General features: G+C 40.2%; 1 long non-coding RNA gene across 1 annotated transcript in view; it reads left to right on the forward strand.

The window, feature by feature from the left end:
* Positions 1-17,084, forward strand: part of EPIC1 (epigenetically induced MYC interacting lncRNA 1) — a 223,927-nt gene that overhangs the window by 66,841 nt on the left and 140,002 nt on the right. Inside the window, exon 7 of the long non-coding RNA NR_122046.1 lies at positions 6,075-6,233. This is a non-coding gene — a long non-coding RNA (epigenetically induced MYC interacting lncRNA 1). The remainder of the gene's footprint in view (positions 1-6,074; positions 6,234-17,084) is intronic.

Here is a 17,084-nt window from a genome sequence, read left to right on the forward strand (position 1 = left end):
TGCCCTTGGCCGACGGCAGGACCCATCAGTCAGCTGGAGCGCTTGTAATTTTATTTTTGGATTACAGCATAGTCACATGGTTATGAAACCATCACTACCATCCATCATTCACAGAAACTTTTCATCTTCCCAAAGTAAAACTCTGTACCCATTAAATACTAACTCCCGATTCCCCCATTCCCAGTCCCTGGCAACCACCGTTCCACTTTTGTTACCGGCGGAAGGTATCTGAGTTACCGGCAGTGAATCCATTCGGGTCTGCAGCAACCTCAATTCTTGCCTCCCCAGAAAAAAAAATTCAACTGAGGGGCATAAGGCAGAAAAGGACAACAGGCAAGCCTCAGAGCTGGAGTGGAAGTTTATTAAAAAGATTTTAGAATAGAAAAGAACACTTGGAAGAGATCCTAGTGGGCGACTTGAACAAGTTCCTTGCTTAACTGTAATCCTAGGACTTTATACGCCGGCATCTTGCATCCCTTTCCTATGATTCTTCCCTTAGGGTGGGCTGCCCACATGTGCAGTGCGCTCCTTACCTTGGGAAGTGAGCATGTGCAGTGTGTTGGGGAAGATGTACGCATGCCCGTTTGAGGCTGTCTTCCTTTTTCCAGTGGCGTGCCCCGGAAGGTCATCCTCTGCCATTTTTGTCTCTTACTGTGCATGCCCAGGAAGTTGTTTCTCCCTGACACTTGTGTTCAATTATCACTTTAGTACAATAGGTGTGGACATCAGGAAATGGCCTCTCCCTGGCACCAGCTGCCAGTTTATCACTTTTAGAGAGGCAATGTGACCACTGCTGAACCATCACCTGACATTCGTAGTGGGTGGGGGAGAGCCTCTCCTGCCGCCGCTCATGCCTGTCTAACTACCTATAACACTTTCTGCTCTATGAATTTGACTATTCTAGGGGACCTCATGTGAGTGAACCATACAATCTTTATTCTTTTGTGGTTGGCTTATTTTACTTAGCATAATTTTTTCCAGGTTCAATAACCAACTTATAGTATGTGTCAGAATTTCTTCATATATTTTGACAGTTTGTTAGTAGGTGTGTAAATGTTTACTGTTATATCTTCTTGCCGTATTGAACCTTTTATTAATATATATTGTCCTTTGTCTCTTGTAAACTTTTTTGATTAAAGTCTATTTTGTTTGATATTAGTATAGCTGTCTTATTCTCTGTTGATTACTATGTGCATGGAATATCTTTTTACATCCTTTCAATCTATTCGTGTTTTGGGATCTAATGTAAGTCTCTTATGGACAGTATACAGTTGGATCATGCTTGTTTTTGTTTATCCATTCTGCTCATCTCTTTTGATTGGAAAGTCTGATCTATTTTCATGTGGAGTAATACTGATAAAAAGGAACTTACTTTTGTCATTTTGCTTTTTGTTTTCTATATGCCTTATAATTTTATTTCCTTTATGTCCTGCATTACTTCGTGTTTACTTGATTTTTTTTCTAGTAAAACATTTGAATTCCTTTCTCATTTCCTTTGATGTATATTCTATAGCTATTTTTTGTGGTTATCATTGAGATTACATTTAACTCCTAAAATTATAATAGTCTAATTTGAATTTATACCAACTTAATGTCAATAACATAAGAATGTCTGATCCTATATATCTTTGTCCTTTACCATTTCAGTTATTGATGTCACATAATTATACCTTTAGACATTGTGTGTCCAAAGACATAGACTAATAATTTTTAATGTGTTATTCTTTTAAACCATGTAGAATACAAAAAGTGGAGTTACAACCCAAAGTTACAATAAAACTAGCTTTTATAACTGTCCATGTATTTACCTTTACTGAGGTATTTATTTCTTTACTCAGCTTCAAGTTACTGTCCAGGGTTCATTCTTTTCATCTGGCAGTTGATCAGCAATTCTTACAGGGCAGATCTAGTGAAGGAACTTTCTCCATTATCTGGGAATGTCTTAATTTCTCTCTCATTTTGAGGGACAGTTTTGCCATATATGGGATTCTTCACTGATGATTTTTTCCTCTAGCACTTGAAATATATAAACCCACTGCCTCTTGTTTCCAAGGTTTCTAATGAGAAATCTTCTATTAATATTACTGGAAGTCTCTTGCGTGTGTTTAGTTGATTCTCTTTTGCTGTTTTTAAGATTCTCTCTTTGTCTATTGACAGTTTGATTATAATGTGCCTCAATATGATTCTCTCTGAGTTTATACTTCTTGAAGTTCATTGAGCTTCTTGGATGTTTAGATTCATATCTTCCATCAAATTTGAAAAGTTTTTGGCCATTATTTCTTCATATAATTTCTCTCCCCATTTCACTCTCTTCTCCTTCTGGTAATCCCACAATATATATGTTAGTCTGCTTGGCAGTGACCCACAGGTCCCTTAGGATCTGCTCACATTTCTTCATTTGTTTTTCTTCTGTTCCTCAGACTCAATCACTCAAGTTGTCATATATTTAAGATTACTTATTTTTTTCTTCTGCCTGTTCACATTTGTTTTTGAATCACTCTAGATTTTTTTTATTTTAGTTATTGTACTTTTCAGCTTTAGAATTTTCTTATCTTTGTCCATATCTTTTAACGCCAAGCATCTTTAAGACAGTCATTTAGTCTTTAGTAGATCTGCAACCAGGTCTTTTTCAGGGACAATATCTGTTGATTCATTTTTCCTTCGAATAAACCATACTTTTCTGTTTCTTTTTGTGTCTTATACTTTTTTTCTTTAAAGCTAGACCTTTGAATCTTATGCTGTGGTATTGTCAGAGGTCTGAATCCCCTGCTTTTCCAAGAATTGCTTTGAAAAACTGTTTTAAGGTGTGTCTGTTCTGAGCTTGTGAGTTTCCCTGGGCCTGCATAGTGATTTTCTGAATTCCCCTGTATATACGATTGCCTTTGAATGTCCTAGTCCTGAGATTGCTGGCTCCCCAAAGGGGAAAACTAGGAAAATAAAGAAGAGTAATAAAAGGTACCCCTGTTTTAAATCCCCTGAAAGTTGTTTCAGCCAAAGGGGAAGAGGATCGCAACAATGCAGTGGGTGGGAGGGCTGTGCAACAATGGCTGCCCTCCTCTGTGTCTGCACCTCTGTGATCAGAACCAGCAATCAGCAATCAGAACAGAGATACCTCATATTTAAAGAACAGGATCCCTATTGCTCACCCTGACTCCCACAAGCTATATGCAAACTACTTCAGGAACACATGCATGGATACCTGGCATAGGCATGGGGGTTGGAAGACGGGTATTTGCCATTAAGCTAGAGCTGAAACTGACCAAAATTAACTGCAATTTACTGTGCAAGTCTTACCCTGGAACTTGTAAGCCTTCAAATAGACTTCAGACTTCCAAAATACTTACACCAGACAGATTCTGCCAGTATAACTTGTGGTAAAGTGGATTCCTGGTGCTTCCACTTGGACGTCTTTCAAGAATTCTCTTTCTTACTGTCTTTTATTTAGACAGTGGATTATATTGGTTCCTAGTACCTGGTGAAGTAAGACTGTCAATTTTTCTCTTATTCTTCATGACTGTGTTTGTTTGCCCTTTTTAATCCTTTGCATTTTTATATAAATAATAATTCTCCTCCTTGTTGTTTTTGTTGTTCTTCTTCCTCTTCTTCTCCTCCTCCTCTCCTCACTCCTCCTCCTCTTCTTCTCCTTTATCTCCTCTTCCTCCTTCCCCTCCTCTCTCCTTGACTCCCACTCCCTCTTCCCCTCCCCTCCCCCCTCCCCTCCCCCTCCTCTCCCCTCCCCACCCCGCTGCTGCTGCTGCTGCTGCTGCTGCTGCCTCTTCTTCTTCTTCTTTTCTTCTTCTTCTCTTCTTCTTCTTCTTCTTCTTCTTCCTTCTCCTTCTCCTCCTTCTCCTTCTCCTCCTTCTCCTTCTCTTTCTCCTTCTTCTTCTTCACCTTCTTTCTTTCTGTCTCTCTCTTTCTCTCTTACACACACACACACACACACACACACACACACACACACCCTTGATATTTTGATTAGAGTTACATGGAATCTCTAGATAAAGTTGGGGAAAACTAATATCTTTAGAGTGTTGTGTCTTTATAGATACATTTATTTAGGTCTGCTTTGAAATATTTGTCAATAATAATACTAGTTTTTTATGTAGAGTTTATGTAAATAGTTTATTTCCTAGGTGTTAGATTTTATGTTCTGGTATTATTTTAAATGATAACTTTTTAAAAAATTTCTAATTATTGTTGCAGAGATAAAAACATAATTTATTCGGTATTTTGACTTAAAATTAAGGAATTCTGCCATGGTCCCTTATTAATTCTAATAATATAAATTTTTCAGTTATTTATTTTGGATTTTCTTATATAATTAAGACATTTTTAATTTTTCCATTCCAATTGTTATGCATTTACTTACTTCTTTCTTTAGTATAGAAAAAAGCAGAAATCCTTTTCTCTTTCCTGATCTCAGAATAAATTTTGCAATATTTTCTCAAAAAGTATGATGCTTGCTATGTGACTTTTCTTTTTAAAATACATTCTTTTTCAGAGTGAGGGGAAAGTTTAATTCTATTCTTAGTTAGGTACTAGTTGTGTCATGTATGAATGTTAATATTTATGCTTTGTACTTTTTGTACCCTGTGGTGTTATATCATCTTTAAGTATTCTGAAGAATTTACCATGAAGCCATTGAAATTTGTATACATGTGTGTGAGACTTCTAAAACTATGGATTAAAACTGTCTAATACATAAATGACTAGACTTGGTATTCATTTTTGTGTAACTTTTGGGATGTTATGTTTTCCAAGGAATTTGTACATTTCATTTAAAGTTTCAGAATTTTTTGGCATAAAGTAATTCAAAATATCTTATTGTTCTTTTAAGACCTATCTAATCTGTAGTTGTGTTTCCTTTTTTTAAAAATTAAAAAAAATAATTTTTAGGTAAGAGATGTAGCCTCACTATGTTGCCCTGACAGCTTTCAAACTCCTGGGCTCAAGCAATCCTCCCCACTCGGTCTCCCAAAGTATTTCAGTTTCAGGCATGAGCCACCATGCACAGCCTGAGTCTCCATTTTATTTGAATATTTTTTATTCTTGCTTATATCATGACATCTTCCAATTGAGTTTTAATTCTATTAGTGTTGTGAAATGTTCCTCCTTATTCTCTAGTAATACTTCTTATTTTTTTCTAGTAATACTTCTTATCTTAAATTCCATTTTGTCTAATGATACCTATACCAGCTTTCTATTAGTTAATGTTTGTGTGGTATATATTTTCCCAATATATTTTATGCAATCTGTGTGTGTATTTATCTTTAACATGTGTCTTTCTTAGGTAGCATATATTTGAATTTTCCTTTATCATTCAGTTCGACAATTGTACTCTTTATTTGAAAAACACAGTCCCATTACATTTAATGTAATCTGATATATTTGAAAATTTAACTGTTACCTTATATTTTCTATTTGTTCCATTTATTCTTTATTTCTTATTTTTACTTTTCACATTCTTTTCTCTTTATTTTATTTTATTTCTTTATTTTTTTGAGATGGAGTCTTGCTCTTGTCACCGAGGCTGGAGTGCAATGGCATGATCTTGGCTTACTGCAACCTCCGCCTCCTGGGTTCAAGCGATTCTCCTGCCTTAGCCTCTGGAGTAGCTGGGATTACGGGCACCCGCCACCACACCCGATAATTTTTGTATTTTTAATAGAGATGGCGTTTCGCCATGTTGGCCAGGCTGATCTCAAACCCCTGACCTGAGGTGATCCGCCCGCCTCGGCCTCCCAAAGTGCTGGGATTACAGGCGTGAGTCACCCCCTGCCGGCTTTTCACATTCTTTTCAACGTGTGACAGTGATAATCAGATAATCATCATGTTTCCTATTCTTACCTCTATTCGCTTTTAGTTATACATTCCTTCTTATCCTTTTGTTAGTTACATGGGGGCTCAATGCACTAGAGAGGCTATCTTAAATGTACACTTTTACCATTTCCTTGTCAATACGAAGACCTAGCATGACTTGGTCTGCCAACAAAAGTATATTCACATATGAGAACAATTCATTACATTATCAGGCATCTTTTCTCAGCTTCCCTGTTCCTTTCTGTGGTTTACAGATGAGGCTTCAGGCTTGACCAAATCTGACTGGCTGGCTGCCGGAGACACTGCTACCCATCGGCCCTTAATAAATGGCCTCATTTGATCATCATGTGATCTTCAGAAGCTGGGCTTGATTATCCTTGCCAAACAAAATGCTGAAACCAAAAATCTGAAAGGTATTTCTTGCTAAGTAAGGGAGAGCTGTGCTTGTAGAGTGTGGTCACCCTGAACAGCGCAAACTGCTTGTGGAGCTCCAAGACTGGCAGACTTGGGAGGGGGAGCATTTAGGGATTGGATGACTTTGGCCGTGGACTCGGGGTTGGGACAGTGAGGCTGCCACTGAATGGCTGTCACTCAGAAATGTAGTTACTGATAAAAAGTTGACTCAATTTGTCAGGGCAGGCTTAAAATCAGTTTTGGTAGTTACTTTTTGTCATGGCTGAAGAGCAATCCTCTGTCTTCTTGAATTTGGACCTTTATTTGGACTTGAGTTTGGAAAAACTAAGAAATTTTTGTTCTCATTTTCATTACATGCTTGAGAAAACTGAGGCTCAGACAGGCGAGTAAGTTTCCCAGGGTCACGCATTTACCGGCTGGCATATTAAAGTTTTGAACAAAGTCCACGCTTTTCTTACACACTATTCTCATTAGTATTAGTTTTAGTAGTAATCGTAGCTGTACTTTTGGTTCATAGGTTCATAGAGAGTTGTTAATCCTACTCCTCACTGATAATCCATTCTCGCCATCATGCCCTACAAGACCTCTGGTTGTTTAATTCCATTTCTCCTTCATGCTGGATCCCATCTCCCATCCCCTCTCCACCCCTCCGACAGAGTCACTCTTTCTAATGTCTTTTTATCTGTACCTAAATATTTGTGTAGCTTTGAAAAATCTAATTTGTCAAGGGTTATGTGTTCATTTTACATTTCCATACATGTTATTGTGCAATATATAGATCTCATTTGTTTCCTAATTTTTTTCACTCACCACTGTTGTGAAAACACACTGACATTTCTGTATGACCCTCTTCTGACCTTTGCTTCACAGCGTGCATCTACCATACCTTAACCTACCCTGTTCCTCTTGTCATGGACCCCTGGATTGCCTCTGGCTCCCCCCAACACACACCTTACTGCAACATCCACACACTGGGGTCTTTATGGATTTCCCTGGGTTTTCACTTAGGAGTGGGATTGCTGGATCCTAGGAGACACCCGTTAATTCTGCTTGGCACAGACAGTTTGCTCTGTGTGGCAGGCCATATTCCCATCAGCAGTGCGTGAGGGGTTCATTCTGCCACATCCTCACCAGCATTTTTATACTCCTTGAAAGTTTTGTCAGTTAGATGAATGGGTGCAAAATGTAATCTTAACATTGATTTAACCTGCATTTCTGTGTTTGCCAAGGAAGTTGTGCGTCTCTTCATTACTTAGCAGCCATTCAAGTTTCCCTTTCTGTGAAGCTCTTATTCATATACCTTAGCCAATTTGATAGTCCATTGTTTTTATTTTGTTGGATTTCACTATTTCCTTGCATGTTCTAGATGCCAATATCTTGTTGATTTTAAAAGATGTAGTCATTCTCCCCCCAATCTGTCACTTGTTTACTTTAATGATGCCTTTTTATCTCAAACCCAAATTTTTAATGTTGCTATTGAAAGGGCAAAAGTTCCCTTATCCCTGTCACAGGGTGTGTGATGCGGGAGTGGCTCACTTCCTCAGCGCCCCGCTGCTGAGACCTTTAGGGGAGCATGCAGATGGGCCGGTTGTGTGGCTCCGACCCCACGGCAGCGTCTAGGGGTGAATGTTTACAGCTGCTGAAGCCACAGTGGGCGTGTGTTACAGGATGCTCTTTTAGTTCAGCCATCCGTAGGTGGCTTGTGTTAGCTCAATTAGACACCCTTCCTTATCACAAGGACACAGGGATTTCTGTATCCCGGGGTTTCTTGCCTTGGTGTACTGGAAGAATCGGATCAGTTGTGGGCTTGGAGAATAAGTGTAAGTTTGTTTTTTTGTTATTTTATTATTATTATTATTATTTTGAGATGGAGTCTCGCTCTGTTGCCCAGGCTGGAGTCCAATGGCACAATCTCGGCTCACTGCAACCTCTGTCGCCCGGGTTCAAGCATTTCTCCTGCCTCAGCTTCCTGAGTAGCTGGGACTACAGGTGCCCGCCACTGTGCCCAGCTAATTTTTGTATTTTTAGTAGAGACAGGGTTTCACCTTGCTGGCCAGGCTGGTCTTGAACTCCTGACCTCATTATCCACCTGTCTCAGCCTCCCAAAGTGCTGGGATTACAGGCGTGAGCCACCGTGCCTGGCCTAAGTGCAAGGTTTTATTGAGTGGAAGTTCTCAGCAGATGGATGGGGAGCCAGAAGGGAGATGGAGTGGGAAGGTGGTTTTCCCTTGGAGTCGGGCAGCTCAGTGGCCCAGGCTGTCCTCTGACCTCCCTGGTTGAACTCTGTGTCGTTCTGCAGGTCAATGGCCTGCCAGCCTGCCTGTGTCTGTCAGTGTGCTGTTCTGCTGGGGCCCTCTCCACATCCAGCTGCTGTGTCGTCTTCCACTGATGCGTTCCTCTTGACATCCAGCCGCATGTGCATGTGTGTCCGATGGGGCCTCGGGGTTTTTATAGGCATAGGATGGGGGTGTGGTGGGCCAGGGTGGTCTTGGGAAATGCAACATTTGGGCGGGAAAACAGAAATGCCTGTCCTCACCTAGGCCCATGGGCACAGGCCCTGGGATGAAGCCCTAGCCAGGGACCACACCTTCCTCTACCCAGCACGTCCCTGTCCCCCTTCCATATCACTGTGGTAAAATCCAGTTTTTTTCACCTTAGATTTTGTACATTTGAGGTATGACATAAAGTGCATATTCAGTTCAAGATAAAAAGTTTTCTCCAATAGTCTCCTATTAGCTTTATTTTTATGCCTTTTCATTTGAGTTTTTAATCAATCTAGAGATCATTTTACTTAGGATGTAAGGAAGAGTTCCAATTTTAGTTTTACCCATCAGGCAAGCCAGTGGTACCCAAAGCCATGTATTAAAAAAGTCTATTCCTGTCTCACTGATGTGTGTCACTTCTGTCATAAAACAGATCCTTAAACACACATGGGTTTGGTGTTGAGCTTTCTGTTTTGTTCCACTTATGAATTTAATATTTCTGTACCAAAACTGCACTTTTTTTTAAGTAGTATTTTGTGGAATTTTTTCATATCTTGTAGGTCAGGTCCCTTTTATTCTCTTTTTCTGAAATTGTTTATTTTTTAAAGAATTTTATTTTTTCATGTAAATGTCAGAATAAGATTGTTGAAGTCTTCAAAAATCGCTCCTAAAATTTTTTTTTTTTAATCAGAATCTCATTTAAGTATGGCTTTTGTGGAGAACTGCCATTTCTTCAAATGTTAAACTAGTCCATTATGGGATATGGTATATTTTCTCTTTATTCTAATCTTTCTTTATATCCTTTAATGAATTTTAAAACTTTCTCTATAAAGAATCATGAATTCTTTGTTAGATTTATTCTTAGATATATTTAAGTTTTTCTTGTTATTGTAAATGTTATATTGTTTTATTATTATATGTTTTAGTTAGAAATTACCAGTGTGAGGAAACATCATGGTATGGTTGAAATCACACCTCTTAATTTTTGTAGAACTCTTAATTCCAATATTGCGTGCATTGATTCTGATGCATTTTCTATTTAGGTGATCATGCCATCTGCAAATAAGGATAGCCTTGACTTGTCTTAATATATTCTTCTACCTCTTGTTGATCTTTCTCTTGATGAGTCCATTGGACAGCTTTACCAGTAGCAATAAGATTGCGTTTTTCTTGTTTCCAGTCTTAAAGGAGCCATGCCTCAAGTCCATCCTCTGAATATGGTATTCGTCAAAGACAAGCATAGTTATTTATCAGATAAAGAACATTCTCCTTTAGTTACAGTATTCTGGGAATACTGTATGTAATAATAATAATGTAAATAATTTTATTTAAAAACAAGTTGGATATTTACAAGTGCATTTTTTTTTGCTTCTACTGACCTAGTCAATATTTTTTCTTTCTTCATCTTAGTATCTTAAAGTGGTGAATTAAATTCATAGGCTTTCTGATGTTAAAACTTTTTTTCATTCCTTTGATGAACTCTATTTATAATGATATTATTATTATTTTCAGACAACATTAAAGTCAATTAGCAAATATGTAAGTAAGACTTCATAAGTGAAAAGAGCCTATACTTTGCATTTTGAAGTTTTTTTTTTTTTTTTTTTTTTTAAACCAGCTTTGGAATCAAGCAAACAATTTTATAATTAACAGAAGGTCTCTGTCTCTGTCTGTCTCTCTCTCTTTCTCTCTCATTGTTTGGAACAACTTGTGATTTGTGTAAGACATAGATTCTTTCTTGTTTAAAAGTTTGATGTAACTTTTTTGTGGAATGTTCTTGGCCTGATTTTTTATTGCCTTTTTTTTTCCCTCTTGGGGGAGGCTTTAATTACCATTATGAATTTTAAATGAAAATCTATTTATCCTTGCTCCAATTTGGAATATCATACTTTTCCAACAGTGTGTCCATGTTGCCTTGTGTTTTCAAATTGATGTCTTTATAAAAAAGATTTTACATTGTTTTTGCAGTTATTTCCTCTTTTGGATTCTGTTTTGTAAATTTGCATCTTCCCCTTATTGTATTGACTAGATTTGCCAGAGCTTTTTGTATATTGTATTAATATTTTAAAGAAATTGCTTTTGGTTTTGTTAATCTTCCCTATTTCATTGATTTATGTTCTTATCTATTTTATTTTCTTCTTGTTTGTCCCTTTTGGGTTGCTTCTGTTTCTTGTTTGTTTTCTGCTTGGATTGAATACTTAGCTCATTTTTTCTTACTTTCTGATAAATACATTTAAACATATGGAGCTATCACTACAGTGTGGCTCCATTATTTTGTAATTCTCTTATGTTTTACTTTGTATCTTAAAGTCCTTTTAGCAGAATGACATTTTAGTTTTTGAACATATGGTATATTATTTATTTTTAATCATTTTTGTTACTGGTTTCTAATTTCACTGCTTTGTGCTCAGGGAACATACTAAGCTGGGTGGATTGTTTGGGCTCATTGTAGCTTCCAACCTCGTCCATCATCCGTGGTTGTGAAAGCTTCGCTCCACACACACATATATTTTGCTCTGGGATTTTTATTAATCTTGTCAATCAAATTTTGTATGCATTTATGCTTTTTTGTTTTGATTTTTTTTTTTGTCCCTCTAATCTACCAGTCTCTAATAGGGCTTTGTGAAAATCTTGGGCAATAAATTTTGTTGTCTCTATGTTCTCTTGTAATGCTGTCAGTTGTTATTTTATATATTGTGATGAGCTATTTTAAAGGGCTTATTTATTCATAACTACTATCTTCTTGATCTAGCACACTGTTTTGGCAGTATATAACATCGCTTTTTGGCATCATAATGTTTTTCATCTTAAAACCCATTTAGCCCAATACTAAAAAGTCTTACCTTGTATTTGAAAAAAATTCTTATTGAAACAACCTTTGGAAACTACACACATACTTTCCTTTTAATTATTTCATGTATTAATTTATGTAAGTTTTCATATCCATTTTTACTTCTCATTATGAATCAATAAATTGGTTTTCTGAATTTAACTCTTGGACTAGAGATTCTGCTCTTTGTGTGCCGAGAATTAGTTTGCAGAGACCCAGGTCTGCAGCCATCATGAGGACTCAACTTCGCCACACCTCACGGAAGAGCCCCCTGTCTTCTCCCCAGTGCTGTGTGATGCAGATTCCTTTTACAGCCTGCCTGCCTGCCTCCCTCCCTCCCTCTCTCTTTCCCTTTTTCCTTCCTTCCTTCTTTGAATGTTACTTTTTTCCTTCTCTGAATTGTAATACAGACATATGGTAAATGGCATAAACATGGCACACGTTGATAAGTAAGGAAAAGGAGACTCCCCTGTAAGTGCTCATGACCTCAACACCAGGTCATGAAATGGAATATTACCAGCAGCCTGGGGTTCCCTGTGTGCCCCCAGCTGTCTGCAGTCATTTCTGTCTCACTTGCCTCTAGGTAACAACTATTGTCACCTTAGACTCATTTTCTTGCGTTTCTTTATGGTTTTAGCTTTGGACATTCAGTTCTGCCTGTGCTGTTTCATGCAATGAAATCATAGGTGAGTCTCACATGAGTGGAATTGTATCTGTCTTGTTTCACTCAACATTATGTTTTGATGTTTTGGGGTTTCATCCATATTTTTGGATGCACCTGTACTTTACTCATTTTTGCACAGTCTGGGAGTTTGTTGTATGGCTATACAACCATTTAATTTTCCACTGTTCAGTCGATGGACACTGGAGTTGGTTTCTAGTTTGGGGCAATTACAGGCCAGGTTGCTAGGAAGGGTTTCACACGTGTGTCCTAGTGGGTGTGCCAGTGAGTTTGCCTAGAGTTTGTACTTAGTCATGAATTGCTGGGTAGGAGCTATTACCTGCAACTTGACTAGATAATATCAAATATGTCCAAAGTTGACATTCCAATGAGATCTCCAGGGTTTGTGAGCTGTTATTGTTCCGCGACCACACTGATATTCATATTTCCAGTTGTTTACTAAAGGGCTAATAAGTTATAAATACATTCATTTGCTTTTCAGTCTAGTGGGCACGTGTTGCCATGACTTTATTTTGCCTTCCCCTGATTAGTTTGTTAGTCATTTTTATCCTCTCTTTCTAAGTATCTGTTCCTATATTTTTGTCTACCTTTTGGGGTTGCTTGTCTTTTTATTGATTTGTGTGAGTTAAAAAAAAAAATGCGGCCGGGCGCGGTGGCTCACGCCTATAATCCCAGCACTTTGGGAGGCGAAGGTGGGTGGATCACGAGGTCAGGAGATCGAGACCATCCTGGCTAACACGGTGAAACCCCGTCTCTACTAAATATACAAAAAAAAAAAAAAACTAGCCGGGCGTGGTGGTGGGCACCTGTGGTCCCAGCTACTCGGGAGGCTGAGGCAGGAGAATGGTGTGAACCTGGGAGGCGGAGCTTGCAGTGAGCTGAGATCACGCCACTGCACTCCAGCCTGGGCGACAGAGCAAGACTCCATCTCAAAAAAAAAAAAAGCAGCCGGGCGCAGTGGCTCACACCTGTAATCCCGGCACTTTGGGAGGTCAAGGTGGGCGGATCATGAGGTCAGGAGATTGAAAGACTGTCCTGGCTAACACAGTGAAACCCCATCTCTACTAAAAATACAAAAAATTAGCCGGGCGTGGTGGTGGGTGCTTGTAATCCCAGCTACTCGGGAGGCTGAGGCAGGAGCGTGAACCCGGGAGGCAGAACTTGCAGTGAGCCGAGATAGCGCCACTGCACTCCAGCCTGGGCGACAGAGCGAGACTCCGTCTCAAAAACAAAACAAAACAAAACAAAACAAAAAAATGCTTGTCTTGGTGCAGTGGCTCATGCCTGTAATCCCAGTACTTTGGGAGGCCAAGGAGGGAGGCTCACTTGAGTCCAGGAGTTCAAGACCAGCCTGGGCAATGTAGTGACACCCCGTCTCTACTAAAAATAAACAAAATTAGCCGGGTGTGATGGTGTGCACCTGTAGTCCCAGCTACTCAGGAGGCTGAGGTAGGAGGACTGCTTGAACCTGGGAGGTTGAGGCTGCAGTGAGCTGTGATCATGCCACTGCACTCTAGCTTGGCAGACAGAGCAAGGCCCTGCCTCAAAACAACAACAAAAACAAAAACCCATATATATATGCTTTGGAGATGAGCTCTGTTTTTTGATTATAAGTGCAGGAAATACCTTCTCCTGCTCCGTGTCTTGTTTCTCACTCTTGCCTAATGTCTTTTGATGACCAAAAGCTCCTAATTTCAGTGCAGTCAAATTCATCCACTTTTTTTATGTCTGAGAAAATCTTATCTTACCCTAGTATTAAATAATATGTTAGCTTGATATAACAATCTGGGCACAATTCTTTTCTTAATATTTAAAAATTATTGTTATGCTATTGCTTGGCTTCCATTGTTGACAATTGTGATACCAACTCGATTCTTATTTATATTTATTGCTGTTTTTTTCCTGATAACTTTTAGATTTTTTCCTTATTTCTCATGTTTTAAAAATTTCTTTTACCTTTATCTAGTTTTGCTTTTTTCTTTCTTTTTTTGGACCCTTTGAGTCTTTTAAATTCAAGGTCTTGCATTTCCTTTATTTCTTGCTAATTGTTGGTCATCAATTTTTAAGGCATCCTCTAATCTCTGTTCATTTCTCTGCCCTTCTGGCAATTCTGTTGCATGCACTTGGCACTTCCCTCCTCCAGCGTCCCTCCTTGCATTTTCTGTCTCTCCATTTCCCCTTCATGCTTCCTGGCGCTAGCCCGCTAGCCCGGTCTTGCTCTTTCACATACTGATATGTCCTCAGTTGTATCCATTCTGTTACTCAACTCATCCACTCGGTTTTAAATACCAACTAGTATGTCTTTCAAATGTATCATCTCCAGTGTAGTCTTCTTTATAACTTACTTCAGCTCCATGTCTTCGTCTTTTCTTTTCTCTTTTATAACATCTTTCATTTCTACTTTGATATAGTTTTGTTTAAAACATGATGATAGCCCCTAAATGCCATGATTTTGCATTGTGAGTGAGCTAAGAATCCCTGAGGACATTAAGCATTGTGGCCAGGGATGCTTCCCTGGGGATGTGATGGCTGCTTGGCCTGGCTTTTGGCTTTCCTTCTGGGTTGTGCATGGAGGAGAGATGCCTCAGGAAGGAGTCTCCAGTGCTAGTCTATGTAACTCTCCCTTGCACTGCTTTTTTTTTTTTTACACAGCATTTAGCTCTTGTTGCCCAGGTGGGAGTGCAATGGCGCCATCTCAGCTCACCGCAACCTCCACCTCTCGGGTTCAAGTAATTCTTCTGCCTCAGCCTCCTGAGTAGCTGGGACTACAGGCACATGCCACCACGCCTGGCTAATTTTGTATTTTTACTAGAGACGGGGTTTCTCCATGTTGGTCAGGCTGGTCTCAAACTCCCGACCTCAGGTGATCCACCTGCCTCGGCCTCCCAAAGTGCTGGGATCATAGGCATGAGCCACTGCGTCCAGCCTGCACTGCTTTTTAAAAAAGTTTTTCATCTTACTCTTAGTGTTAATCATCTCATCTTCCAGATCTGGGGGTGGTGGGGCAGAGGAGAAGGACCCTGGGGTTGGCAGGTCCATCAGATCTGGGGTTCACTCCTGGGGTCTCCATGGGGCCTGCAATGAATAGCACTCTTCTTTTCCCTGCCCGTGGCCCCCAGGCCTAGACATGTGAGAAAGGGTAAAGATGGAGACCAAAACTTTGCCTTCATGTTAGAGGCTTATTTAGAGGCCAGAGCTCTAAAGAGACCTGCAAGCTGAACCCATGAGAAGGGGGTGGACCTTCTCCCTTGCGGCCTCCAGGGGCCAGCCCTGTCCCAGGGAGGAGGGGCACAGCTGAGCCCGGCAGGCCCAGCTACTTTCCAGCGCAGAGTGAGTGGAAGGTAGGAGAGGCTGGGAGTGTGGGAACTGGGACGGGGAATGCATTCAGCTCTTCAGCGTGCTCCCGTGCACATCTGGCTGAAAGCAGCCCCCATGTCACCGGGACCCAGCCTCTGCTGAGATGATAGCAGCTGCATTTCTCTCTCGTAGGCCTTTGTCTGGCATTGGCTGACTCAGCACAACATAGGAAGAAAGAGGAAGAAAGGGTGCTCCCCTCTCTGCTCGCTTACCCCGCTGAAAACCCTCACTTTTCTCCACTGTGGGCAGTTGTATTTTCCACCCTAGGAAGCAGACACCTTTTGCCACCTCAGGGCCCCTCAGGGCCTGTGTGCGGTCACCCAGCATAGCCCCCACCTCTCTCTGGCTGCTATGGTGCTTACAGGGCTTGGCTCAGGGAAGGTTGTCGGCAGTCCTGGGCCACTTTGCCATGTGTTGGAAATCAGAACCTTCCATGTTCCTTTCATAGCTGGAGCTGATTTTCCCAGTGGCGTGCACAGCTCCCGGCCTGGGCTGTGTCGTCTTGGGGAGGTGGAATTTGCTACCTCTAAGGTGGAGCAGTAGTTAGTGTTCCTGGAACAATCGTAGAAGTAAGCAGGCCAGAGGTGAATGAAACGTGGGGACATTAGCACAGGGGGCTGGGGCACACTGCATGGGTGGGAAGGGGTGTCCCTTACATCAGGGGCATGGACTGTCTAGAGAGACACCATTTGTCCTTCAACTCCAGGTGGTGTTTCAAATCCTGCTGGTGTCCAGAGGCCTGGACTCTGTCCCCATCCTATAAGGATTTCTGTGACTGCTGCCGTGGGACTGGCATCACATTCTCATTGAGGGGACATGCTTTCCTTGGTTCTAATCCTGAGTCTAAGAATGTGAGGTTTGCCTAGGCAGTGTCACTGTCCTAATCAGCAACAATTGTCTCTTAGGCAATGTCATCATCCTGACCAGAAACAATTGTCCCTTAGGCAATGCCATTGTCCTCACCACAACAATTGCCCCTTGGAGTGGTCCCCTGATTGGCTTTTGTTCCTCCTGAGGCCTGGACACCACATAATTTAGCGGACTGAGAACCTAATTAATAATCATGTGCTCCGATGTCCACCAACATCAATCGTTTGGAAAATCTGGAGTAATTAGGAAATGCTGCTGAACTAGAGAAACTGTTCCCATAAAATGTCAGGTACTTTATTTCCTGGAGGAGTGAATATCTTACTGACTAGGTCTTATGTGTAAAATGCAGTATTCTGAGTTACCAAGTTGTACTGTTGAAATTCCTTTAAGTTGGATGGTGGCATGGAAGTTTCTGGAAGCTGAATTCTGAATAGTTTTAATCTTTCTTTGAGCCTTGGTTTCCTCATCTGTAAAGGGCATAATAGCTTTGTAAACTGAACTAACAGGATGGAATCAAAGGACAGCAATTTTTCTTATAGCATTGCACAAACGTTAGCTTGGCCTCCCAAAGAAGCTTAATTTTAATTTAATTTCAGGAAGAAACAAAAATGTGTGAAGATGTTAAAAA

This window comes from Homo sapiens, chromosome 22, assembly GCF_000001405.40.
Source record: "Homo sapiens chromosome 22, GRCh38.p14 Primary Assembly".
NCBI lineage: Eukaryota > Metazoa > Chordata > Mammalia > Primates > Hominidae > Homo > Homo sapiens.